The following is a 13662-nucleotide window of genomic DNA, read 5'->3' on the forward strand; positions in this document are numbered from 1 at the left end:
CTGTGGAGGCTCCCTGTGTGGGGCTCCCTTGCAAGGCTTGGGGTGCAGCATTCCCTCAGCCAGTGCCGTCCCCTTTGTTCCACTCGAGCCTCTGGCGGGGCCGTGTATTGACAAACCTAGTGACCAGAAGTGGGGTCTCACTGCTACATTTTCAGCTTGCGGCTGAGAATGTAGTGGCTGCACTGCACACTTTCAGCCCTGCTGCTCAGCCCCACCTGCACCCAGCAGCTGTGCTGGGGACAAGGAAGGGGCCTCGGGAGTCATTAGGGCTGTAGGTCTAGGCCTCACCCGGCTTTCCTGCCCCAGCCGTGGCCACTGCCCTCTGCCAGCCAGGCTGGGGCTTGGTCACATCCTGAGTCACATGCTTGCATGAGTATCGCAAGGGAGGTGCCTGCATCATTGACTGAGTCTCGATTTGTCTTCCAAGAACCAAACCAGCTCAGACCAGTTGGTCTTCTCAGGATGATGACGGTCCGGGGCCTCTTTAAATAGCATCTTTTAGGGGCCTCCAGGCCTGTGCCTGTGGAGCCTGTTCCCAGCACAGCAGGGAGGAGGGGGGTGGCTGCTGCTTCTCTGGGGCTTTGCTTTTCCTGTCACCATTGGGGATCTCTGGGTAGCCGTCAGCTAGCTGTGAATGTCGTCCCGCGCTCGGAGTCCATCTCATTGTAATGTTGACATCCGCTGCAAAAGCTGCTGGCGCGTGCTGCTTGGCAAAGCCCCATTGTTGTCATCAGCTGCTGGGTGAGTGGAGCTGAAGGCTGGGCCAGCCCAAACGGCTGTGCTAAGGACCGGAGCCACTGCTCCTCTCCCTCCTTGTCCTACTGCCTCTGACCCGGGCTTGTGGGTCAGCCTTCAGGACCCATGGCTGCCGCCTGCCCTTCCCTCCCTTCCCCCTGCCCTTTCCCGTCCTCCGCCTGACCCACTGCCTCCCTGTTTAGGTCAGTTCTACAGCAACGGAGGGCATTCTGGGAATGCCAGTGGCGGTGGCGGCGGGGGCGGTGGTGGCTCCTCCGGCTATGGCTCCTACTACCAAGGTGACAACTACAACTCACCGGTGCCCCCAAAACACGCTGGGAAGAAGCAGCCGCACGGGGGCCAGCAGAAGCCCTCCTACGGCTCGGGCTACCAGTCCCACCAGGGCCAGCAGCAGTCCTACAACCAGAGCCCCTACAGCAACTATGGCCCTCCACAGGGCAAGCAGAAAGGCTATAACCATGGACAAGGCAGCTACTCCTACTCGAACTCCTACAACTCTCCCGGGGGCGGGGGCGGATCCGACTACAACTACGAGAGCAAATTCAGTGAGTTGGCTTCCAGAGCCCCTCGGCCGGGCCAGGGTCCAGGCCCCAGCAGTGCAGCCCACGGAGTGGCAGAAGCTCGGCACTGCCCAGACCTCTGGCTGAGGGCCTTAGGAGGAGGACAAGTGGTGCTGGCTGCGGGCGGGTGCTAGGAAGATGGGGCGTGGGACCTCATGGTGCCGTCTCCGCCACTCTCTCTGGTGTGTTCTCCGAAGGCAGGGTAGCTGAGGCCTCTGTCCCGAGGCCCTGGCTGTGGGTGAGGCTGCAAGGTGACTTCCTGGGACTTGCTCTAGAGAGTTTTGCATCCAGCCCCTGCAAGAGCCTGACCTCTCCGCCACCGCCTTTCCGCTTCCTCATGCGCAGACCCAGCAGGCCCGGGCTGCACCAGTGACCCAGTGGGGCTGAGTAGGTGTGTCCTTGGGACCCAGCAGCTGTCAGCAGCAGGCCAGGGACTTGACAGAGGCTGTGCTGGTGGGTCAGAAGGGGGTGCTGTGTGTCTGGTGCTGCTGGCTGAGGAGAGGCGGCTGCTGGGGTCTCAAGCACTTCCTCAGCTGCTGCTGGGAAGTTTGGGCTGCAGGAACAGATGGGAAGGCACCCCAGAGCAGGGCTTTGGAGCTTGGTGACCAGCCCAGCCCAGGGCCAGGTGACCCTGCAGGGCTCCAGCTGGCCCCTGGTACTTACCTGATGGGCTGATGTGCGACATTGAAGCAGGCAGGGAGAAGAGTTAGAGGCCCAGGGTCTGGGCCAGGGGCCGGCCGCGTCTGAGGCGCACCACAAGGCCCCCGGGCCGCCCAAGGTGTGTCTTTCCTGGGGCCCCTTAACCATCCTGTCTTCTCTCCCCCAGACTACAGTGGTAGTGGAGGCCGAAGCGGCGGGAACAGCTACGGCTCAGGCGGGGCATCCTACAACCCAGGGTCACACGGGGGCTACGGCGGAGGTTCTGGGGGCGGCTCCTCATACCAAGGCAAACAAGGTGGGCCTGGAGCCCCTGGTGGCACAGCATGGGGGGCCTGGCAGCTGCTGTGAAGCGGGATATGGACCTGGTGGGAGCAGACAGCAGCGTGGGCAGGGCTGCAGTGGCAGGTGGGCCCTGTGAGAACACGCACTCGGATGCACTGGCAGCTGCTAAGGCTTTCGGGAGCAGCCGGAGAGCCAGCAGTGTCCCCACGCTTAACCCCTGGTACCTGTGTGAAATGTGGGTGACACCAAGGCCAAACAGCTGTTCCCCCGGTTCTGGCCAGTAGCTCAGCCTTGGGCTCAGGTAGCTTCTCCCAGAAACGAGGGTCACAGTGGTCCCACCTCTCAGAGTCTTGGTGCCAGCCTGATCCAGTGATGTGTGGTAGGCAGGCAGAGCCGCACAGGAGCCCATAAGTCTTGCCCACCTGCATCCTGGCCGAGGCTTGGGTGTGGGCTGCCTAACCTGAGCCCCGCTGGCTGGGCCCCTCGGCTCTAATCCACCACTCTCTCTCCTAGGAGGCTACTCACAGTCGAACTACAACTCCCCGGGGTCCGGCCAGAACTACAGTGGCCCTCCCAGCTCCTACCAGTCCTCACAAGGCGGCTATGGCAGAAACGCAGACCACAGCATGAACTACCAGTACAGATAAGCCCCCGCGGGGCGGAGATTTCTACCTTCTGCACTTACTCCCCATCAGAAGATCGAGTTTTATGCATCACAGTTAACATGTCAGCTGGCCCTCCAGGCCCCCGCCCCCATCCCGTCCACGTTGCTGTGTCGTGAGGTGCAGCGGGTCACCCTGTGGCCCGTCCTGTGACCCATATTTAGCCGTGTTTGGGACTCCGTGTCTTCAATGGTTTGTTAGTTGCCATTACAACTTTGTCTGGGTAGAGTTTTTGAGTTTTTGCAGTTCAGTATCCCTCTGTCTATTCACACTTCGTGTTAGTGGTAACTCAGTTTGTCTTTAAATAGTTACAGAAGGGATACGTCATTTGTTAATGCTTTTGTGAAGTGAGTTAAACGAGCTTTCTGTATTTTAATGCTTTAGTGTTTCAGTTTTATAAGTGAAGATTTTATTTTAAAAACCAGTGGGAAAGAGTGGGGGGTTTCTTTTTATGTCTGGGTCATTCAGGCAGTACATCTGAATTAAGCTGAATGTAGACAAATAAAGAAAAACAAAACTGCGCCCGTCTTAGGCCTGGGTGTCTGACCCACCAGCAGTGCAATGGGCAGGTTTCCCCACTCTATTCCTGCTCTTGGGAAAGCAGCGTGGGCCATCAGGATGGTCCCTGGTCCTTAGAGAGGGTCCAGTTCAGGCTTCTAGACATTTTACTCATGCTCAGCGAAGGCTGGTTCCTGGTCCCCTGGGCTGTGTAGACCCGGTGTCCCACCAGGCTCCAGGCTCCCACCATCTACAGAGGGGCTTACAGCGCCCATTCTGGTCTTGGGGAACCCATCACAAAATAGGCTTTTTCTGCTCCCCGATTCTGGTGTAGTTCTAAGTACACAGTGATGTCCTCTGTAGGGGCGTGCCTGTGGTGGAACATAACGCAGTTACAAAAGAAAGGGCAGGTGAGGCCTGGGTAACCCCAGCCATGGACCGTCAGTGGCTGGAGGGAGCTTCGTGTCTGTGCTGGAGCTGCAGCCTGCTCGCCATCTGGAGGCTCAGTGGAGTGGGGAGTTGGGGTTCTCATACCAGCAGATTTCCCTAGAGCGTGATTCTCCCATCTGAGGCAATCTTGCCTCCCAGGGGAAATTTTGCAATGTTTGGAGGATGTTGTCACAGCTAGTAGCGGGTGCTCTGGGATCTGGTGGATAGATGCCAAGGATGCTGTCAAGCATACTGTACTGCCCAGAACAGTGGCCCATAGCAGGGACCTGCCCTATCAAAATATCAGGTGTATGGAGGTGGAGTCCCAACGCTAGAGCAGCCCTTCTCAGCTCCACCCTGCCCGGGGAGGGAGGAGGAGCTCTGGTTTCAGAGCAGTGCCGGGATTGCCTTTCCCCAGGATCTGTGTCGGCCATCCAGGAAGAACTGTACTGGCCAAGCCTGGGACCACACGTCTGCAGAGATCCTGCTCTGCTGGCCTGAGCCCCAGGCCTTGGCCTCCTGTGCTTGGGTAACCATGGCCACTGGGAAAAGCAAGGACCGTGTTTGACTTTCTTGGAGAGGTGAAAGAGGTGAAAGAACAAGTTGTGTGCTAGAAAACTTTTGAGGAATTCTTATTTGTGTTAGAGCAGAGGAGGTCCCAGATACCAAGTGGCGCCTCCCAGGAAAGGCTGGGAGAAGAGGTGGCCTGGAGTACCCCGAGATCCCAGCAGCGCACACAGTGGAGGGATGAGGATGGATGGGTCCTAACCCCTGATTTTGATGGGATGTGTTCATGTCCTATCTCCTCTCCTGGACACATTAAGGGGTTGGGACAAGAAGAGACTCCTGTGAGATCAGCAGACCTCGTGTTTAAGGAGAGAATGCCTGCCTGCAACACTCATGGAGAGGGACACTTCCTGGCCCCACCTGCTAAATACCTCCAAACTCTGGGCAGGCGCCTGCATTCTCAACACAGGACTTCCCTTAACAGTTTCCGGATCAGTGACCACCACCACGTTCAGGTTTCTGAATGCAGACCCACCACGAGGGATGGATTCCACCCGCCCGCCCTGCTGCAGATACATGCGGCACAGCAGGCACGTGCCTGGAGAGAACAGCTCCTGAGCACAGCACCCTTGGAGCCCTCACCCCGCTCACGATCCTCACCAGTGCTGATGATGCCGTCATGCTGCTGGCCTGAGACAGTATCCCAGCTACAACAGGACGACACCGGGTTCAGGAATATGTGGCTATCACCTTGAGCACTGACAGTGGCCTTCCAGGCTAGTTGCCTTCCAAACGCAGGTAGCCGACCTGCAGGAGGGCCTACAAACGGGCCCAGCAAGAGCTGGGCAACAGCTGGCTTGTGAAATGAGACACCTTGACCAATATGCTTTGGGTGGACGGTCTCCTACATGTTCAGTGGAGGCCACCAGGAGCATCCATGAGCGGGGAAGGGGTCCACACCCTTACATGGCAAGTTGATACGATGGGGTGCTTGGTGGATGGGCCATGGAGGTCCGTGAGCTGGAACTGGGCACACGCCATCCCAGAGGGCTCAGGATGCCCCAGGAAGGAAAGAAGGGCAACAGACTACACGATTGGACGTGTGTGGTTGACTGGGATGAAGTTGGAGGGAGGGGCAGGGCCTTGCAGGGGATTGGTACTGATCCCAGGGAGGAAGTGTTGGGGCTTCATGAACTAGGATGAAAGGAGGCCCCTGAGCCATGACAAGGGGCACATCCAGGATTTCCGCCACCCTGAATTTAGTAGAGCTAGTAGGCCCTGGTCGTCACTCTGGGCAGGGATGCCGTCAGCCTTGAGGGTCGCCACCCACCTGTGTGTTGCCCTCTGTCCTGGCAGGGAAACATACACCCCTTGTCTCACCACCAACCTTGCTTGTGTAGTCAGCAGGGCTGGCCCTGCCCCAAGGACTCACTGCATGTACCCGGACCCCTAGGCCTGGCCTTTGCAGCATAGTTGGGAGCTTCTGGATTCCATCTGCACCTGTGAGCCCCATGCTGGCTGTGCACTGCGCGGGCCTGAGACTGCTGGATACAATGTTGGGCAACAACTCAGCCAGCCTGATGGCAGCCTCAGAGGCTTACTCTAACCCATCCCAGAATAAATGGAGACTTCATGTGTTCATTGTTTCATTCACTCAACATGCGTTCGTTCATTTTTTAAGAGAGACAGGATATTGCTCTGTCATCCAAGCTGAAGTGCAGTGGTATCATCGTAGCTCACTGCAGTCTTGAACCCGAGAGCTCAAGCGATCCTCCCGTCACAGCCTCTGGAGTAGCTGGGACCACAGGGCTGTGCCTCCATGACTGACTAATTTTCTTGTAGAGGTGGGTCGCCAAGCCTAGTCTTGAACTCCTGGCCTTAAGCAACTCAGCTTCCCTATAGTAGCTGGGATGACAGGCAGCGCCACTGTGCCCTGCTGTCGTGTTTATTATTGCACAGTGATTACATGTCAAGTCTGGTGCTGGTTGCTGGGAACGAAATGGTGAACCTGCTCCCAACCCACATGTAGCTTCCAGGCACAAAGAGGGCTGTGTCACAGTGGGACAGGAAGTGCCTGTCAAGGCTTTCCCCTCAGGTGAGAGGATGGGTGAGTTGGACCCAAGAGTGTTAGGAAGGGAAGGGGAGGCCAGGCAGAGGGAATAGCTTGAGCAAAAATTCAGCTGGGGGATGAGGATGGGCTTCAAGAAGCTGAAGTCAGGTGGGTAGAGCATTTTGATGCAAAACAAAGGAATGCTGGGAAATGAGGCTGGAGGTCAGTGGGATCTTGAGGGCCCCCAAGTGGAGTGCCAGGCACAGGAGTTCTTGCCTTCTTTCTAAGGACAGTGGGGAGCCATGGATGGATTCTGACCTGGGAAGACTTCAGGCCCATTCAGGCTCCCAAGAGTATATATTTGTTTATTTATTTTACTTATTTAGAGATGGAGTTTCGCTCCTGTTGCCTAGGCTGGAGTGCAATGGCACGATCTCTGCTAACCACAACCTCCGTCTCCCGGGTTCAAGCGAGTCTCCTGCCTCAGCCTCCTCAGTAGCTGGAATTACAGGCATGTGCCACCAAGCCTGGCTAATTTTGTATTTTTGGTAGAGACAAGTTTTCTCCATGTTAGGCTGGTCTCGAACTCCCGGCCTCAGGTGATCCATCTGCCTCGGCCTCCCAGTGCTGGGATGACAGGTGTGAGCCACCGCACCTGGCTGTTTATTTTTTAAGATGGAGTCTTGCTCTGTCGCCAGGCTGGAGTGCAGTGGAGCAATCTCGGCGCACTGCAACCTCCGCTTCCCAGGTTCAAGCAATTCTCCTGCCTCAGCCTCCCGAGAAGCGGTAACTACAGGTGTGTGACACCATGCCCAGCTAACTTTTGTTTGAGACAGAGTCTTGCCCTATCACCCAGGCTAGAGTGCAGTGGCATGATCTCCGCTTACTGCAACCTCCGCTTTCTGGGTTCAAGTGATTGTCCTGACTCAACCTCCCTAGTAGCTGGGATTACAGGTATGCACCACCATGTCCGGCTTTTTTTTTTTTTGAGACGGAGTCTCACTGTCGCCCAGACTGGAGTGCAGTGGCATGATACCGCTCACTGCAAGCTCCGTCTCCCGGGTTCACGCCATTCTCCTGCCTCAGCCTTCCGATTAGCTGGGACTACAGGTGCCTGTCACCACGTCCGGCTAATTGTATTTTTAGTAGAGACGGGGTTTCACGTGTTAGCCAGGATGGTCTCGATCTCCTGACCTCATGATCCGCCTGCCTCGGCCTCCCAAAGTGCTGGGATTGCAGGAGTGAGCCACCGCGCCCAGCCAATTTTTTGTATTTTTAGTATTTAGTATTTTTAGTATTTAGTATTTAGTATTTTTGTATTTTAGTTCCACCTTGCTGGCCAGGCTGGTCTCAAACTCTTGACCTCGTGATCCACTCGTCTTGGCCTCCCAAAGTGCTGGTATTACAGGCGTGAGCCACACGGCGCCTGGCCTACAGTTTTTTTGTTTGTTTTGTTTTGTTTTTGAGATAGTCTCTCGCTCTGTTGCCCAGGCTGGAGTGCACTGGAGTGATCTCGGCCCACTGCAACCTCCGCATCCCGGGTTCAAGTTACTCTCCTGCCTCATCCTCCCGAGTAGCTGAGATTACAGGTGCCCAGCATTATGCCTGGCTAATTTTTGGATTTTTAGTAGAGATGGGGTTTCACCATGTTGGCCAGGCTGGTCTTGAACTCTTGACCTTGTGATTCGCCTGCCTCAGCCTCCCAAATTGTTGGGATTGCAGGCGTGAGCCACCGCTCCCAGCTGAAACTATTTTTTAGACAGGGTCTCGGTCTGGTATGCAGTGGTGCCATCATGGCTCACTCATCCTCCTGAGTATCTAGGACTACAGGCCTCACTGCCTGGCTAATGTTTGTTTTTCTTCATAGGGGCAGGGTCTCAGGTTGATGTCCAATTCTTGGCCTCAAGCCATCCCCTCTTCAGCCTCACGAACTGTTGGAATTAACCATTGTGAGCCACCGCGCCTCAGTACAGTTCTTTTGGTTGCTGAGCTGAGTAGGTGTATGGGAGAGGTGAGAATGGGGGCCCTGGAGACGACAAGAGGCTTGACTTTTGGAACATCGGAGCTGAGGTTTACAGTGATTTTTGCAGCTGAGTCCACTGGTCTTGATAAGGGAAGAGTTTCTAGACTCAAGAGGGTTAAAAACGGTATGTCAAAGAAAAGGGGCCCGTCCTTCTCATTCTCAGGGAGACCAGCATTCTCTCCACGGAGTAGCCAAGAAGTCCATGAACTCCCAGGTCTTGGGCCAGTGCTTTTGTCTTCTCAAAAGATCTGGCGCCTAAGGTCTTCTTGCTTGGCAACAGGGCAGTAGGTGGGTGGCAATGTCACAGAGGGACGGTCCCCACACGTCCGATGAATAAACTGGAGAAATCCTCCAGGCTATCGAGACGACCACCCGAACTCAGGGCTCCAAGGACCATTATTTCAGCAAAACCCCTAACTCTCCTCTCCTGAATGTTCTGTATTCCTCAGTCAGTGCTCAGAAGTCCGTATCCTGGACCCAGGACCTCAGCACCCGCTCCCTAAGGCCAACCATATAGTCCCCTGTTTGGGGGCTCCCCTGAGCAGTCGCGGGCGATCCCAGAGAAGGCAAGTTTCGGGATCTGACAGCCCCAGTCACGACCCTGGGTGCTGCGCAAGCCTCCATGTGAAGAGCGCGGAAACCGCCCCAGGCCTAGCTGCTGCAAACCACCGCTTCCAAACTTCCCGCCGGTCTCTAGGCTCCGGGTGCCCACCGCCCCTTCCTTCCTTCCTTTGCGCAATCAACAAGCTCCAACTCCAGATGGGATTTCGCAGGCCCTGCCCTGTGTATAAACTCTCTTCGTCCTGGGGTTGTCAACAAAATTTTTTTTTGGAGACGGAGTCTCGCTGTCGCCCAGGCTGGAGTGCAGTGGCGCGATCTCCGCTCACTCACTGCAACCTCTGATTCCCTGGTTCAAACAATTCTCCCGCCTTAGCCTCCTGAGTAGCTGGGATTACAGGCAAGCGCCACCACGCCCGGCAACAAACTCTTCTAATTGGCCGGACTCGCAGGCCCCGCCCCCACAGAGTGTGCCACTGCGTGGAGCGCGCCGCTCCTCATAGGGCGCTTGCGCAGGCTCCGCTCCCTGAGCGGCCGCTTTCCTGGTCTCCAGGCAACGCGTACGGCGCTGTCCACTGTGCTGAAGCCGCACACCAAGCGCCGCCTCTAGCTGCAGGCTCACGGCGCCCCCAGCTCTCCTAAGTGGGCGGTGCCAACACCCTAAAGCAGGGACCACTAAGCCTCCTTTGCGCCCTATCCCCAGTTTATCTCTTGGTAATAGGTAGAGCCCACTTCCCTCCACGTTGGCTGAGAAAGCCCTACCGTCCCATCCAGCTCAGAGGAAAGCCCAAGGCTTCCCGCGATTTCATGCCGTCACCTCCACACCCTCATCCGCTCACCTCCAGCCACACTGACCTCCGCGCTCACAACAGACAATCCAGACACATTCCCACCTCCAGGCCTTTGCTCTTAACTGTTCACGAGGCCTGGAGTGCTCTCTCCGATTCCGCATGACTCCTCCATCCTCCTTTCAGGCTCAAATCCCACCGTCTCAGTGAGCCCAGCCCTGACTATCCTGTCCTACTGAACACATTGACCTCTCTCTATATGTATGTATGTATATAATTTTATTTTTAGTTTTTTCGAGACAGGATCTTGCTCTGTTGCCCAGGCTGGAGTGCAGTGGTGCGATCATAGCTCACTGCAGCTTCCACCTCCCGGGCTCAAGCTATCCTCCTGCCTCAGCCTCCCGAGTAGCTGGGACTACAGGTGTGCAGCACTGCGCCCGTATAATTTTTGTATTTTTAGTACAGCAGAGGTTTTCGCCGTGTTGCCCAGGCTGGTCTCCAACTCCTGGGCTCAAGCGATCTACCTGCCTCAGCCTCCCAAGGTGCTGGAATTACAGGCGTGAGCCACTGCATCCGGACTAGAATATATTTGTTTAAGTGGGTGGATTAAGCCTCTTTTGATAATTGTTGAAGCTGGGTCATTGGTTACAAGGTGATAACTATGCAATTCTCTGTCCGTTTGTCTATGCTTGAAAAGTGTGTAATGAAGAATGTCAGGTGGCACAGTGATCTCCAGGAGGGGCAGAGAACCAGCATCAGGGGCTACACAGCTAGTGGTGGTACCCCAACGCCAACCCCACACATAGCCCAATCTCACAATGACTAAGTACAGAGACTGTAGTTGATGCTACAAGGATTACTGTGGCTGGAGACCAGATGTGCAACCACCTATAAACTTCCTGAGTGTAGCTTCAGTTTTGACATAAACTGTTCTTATTTTCATGAATCTCTGTGACATGGATGTAGCTGCCTCCAACTCCTGTCCCTAGTGTTTTCGAGCCCAAGGGCCTGTTTCTCCTTATCATTGGCTTTTTTCTTTTTCTTTTTCTTTTTTTTTTTTTTTTTGAGACGGAGTTTCACTCTTCTTGCCCAGGCTGGAGTGCAATGGCACGATCTCGGATCACCACAACCTCCATCTCCCAGGTTCAACCAATTCTCCTTCCTCAGCCTCCTTAGTATCTGGGATTATAGGTATATGCCACCATGCCCGGCTAATTTTGTATTTTTAGTAGAGATGGGGTTTCTCCATGTTGGCCAGGCTGGTCTCAAACTCCCGACCTCAGGTGATCCGCCCGCCTCAGCCTCCCAAAGTGCTGGGATTACAAGTGTGAGCCACTGTGCCCGGCCACCACCACTGGCTTTTGATCCAAATTGTGAATGGCAGAACCTGAGCCTTGTGCAGCCTGGCTGCAGGGCAGGCTGGGAAAGTAACTGTCAATTATAACTTCTATGGAAAGGCAGGCTTAGCCTTAAAAAATATGACATTCTCTCAATGCAGGGGTGTATGAGCGGGGTCAGGTGTTAGGTGGCCAAGAAAAGAAGGGGCTATACTAGCTTCAGAACAGCAAATCCAGGCAACCCTTAATCCAATCAGCCATTCATCCAATCATGGTGATTGCATTCTAAAATGCAGAGGATTCCCTCCAACATCCCAGAAGCTTTGGATAACCAAGAATTGCAGGCAGGTCAGAGCTCCAAGATAAGGTCACCCAGAAAAGAAAGAGACTCACTTTGGATAAGATAATGAAATGCTGTTTTTGGAACCTAAACCACTGAGAGGCAACATTGGCTGCACACAGAAATTCCTTGAGGCTTAAAACAAAAAACAAAAGAAAATTGATGACTGAGTCTCATCCCCATAGATTTTTTTTTTTAAGAGATGATCGGCCAGGTGCAGTGGATCACACCTGTAACCCCAGCACTTTGGGAGACTGAGGCAGGTGGATCACCTGAGGTCAGGAGTTCGAGACCAACCTGGCCAACATTGCAAAACCCTGTCTCTACTAAAAATACAAAAAATTAGCTGGGCATGGTGGTGGGCGCCTGTAATCCCAGCTACTTTAGGAGGCTGAGGCAGGAGAATTTCTTGAACCCGGGAGGTGGAGGTTGCAGTGAGCCGAGATCGCACCATTGCACCCTAGCCTGGGCGACTCTAATTTCTGGCCTCAAGCAATCCTCCTACTTCATCGTCCCAAAGTACATAAGCTACTCACCATAGATTTTAGTTTAAGTTGTCTGGGCATAGAGATAGTTAAAAACTCCACAGGTAATTCTATGTGCAGCCAAGAGTGAAAAACAGTGGTTCTGAAACGAGTGGGCATCAGAATAACACAGAAAGCTTGGCAAGAAGCAGACTTAAACACATATTGGCCAGGCGCTGTGGCAATCCTCCTGCTTCAGTCTCCCAAGTAACTGGAATTATGGGTAATTTTTTAACTTTTTTTTTTTTTTTTTTTTTGCCATGTTGCCCAGGCTGGTCTCTAACTCGTGGGCTCATATGATCCACCCACCTTGGCCTCCCAAAGTGCTGGAATTACAGGCGTGAGCCACTGCGCCTGGTAAACATTTTGAAAAATAGAAATATTAGCTGGGCACGGTGGCTCACACCTGTATCCTAGCACTTTGGGAGGCCTAGATGGGTGGATCGCTTGAGGTCAGGAGTTTGAGACCAGCCTGGCCATCATGGTGAAACCTTATCTCTACTAAAAACAAAAATTAGCCGGACGCGGTGGCTCACACCTGTAATCCCAGCACTTTGGGAGGCCAAGGTGGGAGGATCACCTGAGGTCAGGAGTTCGAGACCAGACTGGCCAATATGGAGAAACCCTGTCGCTACTAAAAATACAAAAAAATTAGCCAGGCGTGGTGGCGTATGCCTGTAATCCCAGCTACTCAGGAGGCTGAGGCAGGAGAATCACTTGAACCCAGGAGGTGGAGGTTGTAGTGAGCCAAGATTGCACTATTGCACTCTCCAGCCTGGGCAACAAGAGCAAAACTCCGTCTCAAAAAAAAAAAAAACAAAAAACGGCCGAGTGCGGTGGCTCACGCCTGTAATCCCAGCACTTTGGGAGGCCAAGGCAGGTGGATCACCAGGTCAGGAGATCAAGACCATCCTGGCTAACATGGTGAACACCGGTCTCTACTAAAAATACAAAAAATTAGCTGGGCGTGGTGGCAGGCGCCTGTAGTCCCAGCTACTCAGGAGGCTGAGGCAGGAAAATGGCGTGGACCTGGCAGGCAGAGCTTTCAGTGAGCAGAGATTGTGCCACTGCACTCCAGCCTGGGAAGCAGAGCAAGACTCCATCTCAAAAATAAAAAAAAAATTAGCCGGGTGTGGCAGCAGGCACCTGTAATCCCGGTTGCTTGGGAGGCTGACGTAGGAGAATCGCTTGAACCTGAGAGGCGGAGGTTGCAGTGAGCTGAGACTGTGCCACTACACTCCAGCCTGGGCAACAGAGTGAGATTCTGTCTCAAAAAAAAAAAAGAAGAAAAGAAAAGAAAGAAAAGAAATAGAAAAGAAAGGATGAGTGTTGTAGACAAAGGCAGGTGCAAAGGCCCTGAGGTTGGCTTGCTGGTGGGCAGGGGTGTTTTCCAGGCGGGTTTTCCGGGTGTGGCCTTACTAAGGATGCCCCACCATCTGGGCAACCGGCATCCTTAGCCTTTCTTACAGGATAGGGGGCTTGAGGCTCCCTTAGACACCCTCTTGGCCAGAGTAGCTCAGTTTAAGACAATTGAAAGGACATCTTCTGGGACAATAGCGCTCTCTGCTGGCCAGGACAGATATCAGATCCAGTTGTAATGATAACAATTACTATATAATATTGTATATTATTATTATCTTTTTTTTTAGGGTTTCGGTCTCACTCTGTTGCCCAGCCTGGTGTACAGT

The 13662-nt window shown here is 54.1% G+C and overlaps 1 protein-coding gene across 16 annotated transcripts in view, besides 4 other annotated features; it reads left to right on the plus strand.

The window, feature by feature from the left end:
• Positions 1 to 5993, plus strand: part of ILF3 (interleukin enhancer binding factor 3) — a 38055-nt gene extending 32062 nt beyond the window's left edge. For 11 of the 16 annotated variants that reach the window (NM_001394808.1, NM_001394811.1, NM_017620.3 and 8 more), the window contains 3 exons: positions 939 to 1301; positions 2143 to 2271; positions 2772 to 5993. In NM_001394808.1, the coding sequence (NP_001381737.1) occupies positions 939 to 1301; positions 2143 to 2271; positions 2772 to 2905 (626 nt within the window). In that variant the 3' untranslated portion in view covers positions 2906 to 5993. The remainder of the gene's footprint in view (positions 1 to 938; positions 1302 to 2142; positions 2272 to 2771) is intronic. The other 5 variants (NM_001394815.1, NM_001394817.1, NM_001394816.1 and 2 more) reach the window with 2 other exon arrangements.
• Positions 4654 to 5449: an enhancer, noted in NCBI's record as "H3K4me1 hESC enhancer chr19:10801737-10802532 (GRCh37/hg19 assembly coordinates)". NCBI's record gives its function as "activates a minimal SCP1, AML or CMV promoter by ChIP-STARR-seq in primed H9 embryonic stem cells {active_cell/tissue: H9 hESC(primed)}" and the evidence as "EXISTENCE:reporter gene assay evidence [ECO:0000049][PMID:30033119]".
• Positions 5450 to 6243: an enhancer, noted in NCBI's record as "H3K4me1 hESC enhancer chr19:10802533-10803326 (GRCh37/hg19 assembly coordinates)". NCBI's record gives its function as "activates a minimal SCP1, AML or CMV promoter by ChIP-STARR-seq in naive H9 embryonic stem cells {active_cell/tissue: H9 hESC(naive)}" and the evidence as "EXISTENCE:reporter gene assay evidence [ECO:0000049][PMID:30033119]".
• Positions 8940 to 9439: an enhancer, noted in NCBI's record as "H3K4me1 hESC enhancer chr19:10806023-10806522 (GRCh37/hg19 assembly coordinates)". NCBI's record gives its function as "activates a minimal SCP1, AML or CMV promoter by ChIP-STARR-seq in naive H9 embryonic stem cells {active_cell/tissue: H9 hESC(naive)}" and the evidence as "EXISTENCE:reporter gene assay evidence [ECO:0000049][PMID:30033119]".
• Positions 9396 to 9655: a silencer, noted in NCBI's record as "silent region_10088". NCBI's record gives its function as "represses an Ori minimal core promoter by ATAC-STARR-seq in GM12878 lymphoblastoid cells {active_cell/tissue: GM12878}" and the evidence as "EXISTENCE:reporter gene assay evidence [ECO:0000049][PMID:35858748]".

The sequence above is a fragment of the Homo sapiens genome, chromosome 19 (assembly GCF_000001405.40).
Source record: "Homo sapiens chromosome 19, GRCh38.p14 Primary Assembly".
Lineage (NCBI taxonomy): Eukaryota > Metazoa > Chordata > Mammalia > Primates > Hominidae > Homo > Homo sapiens.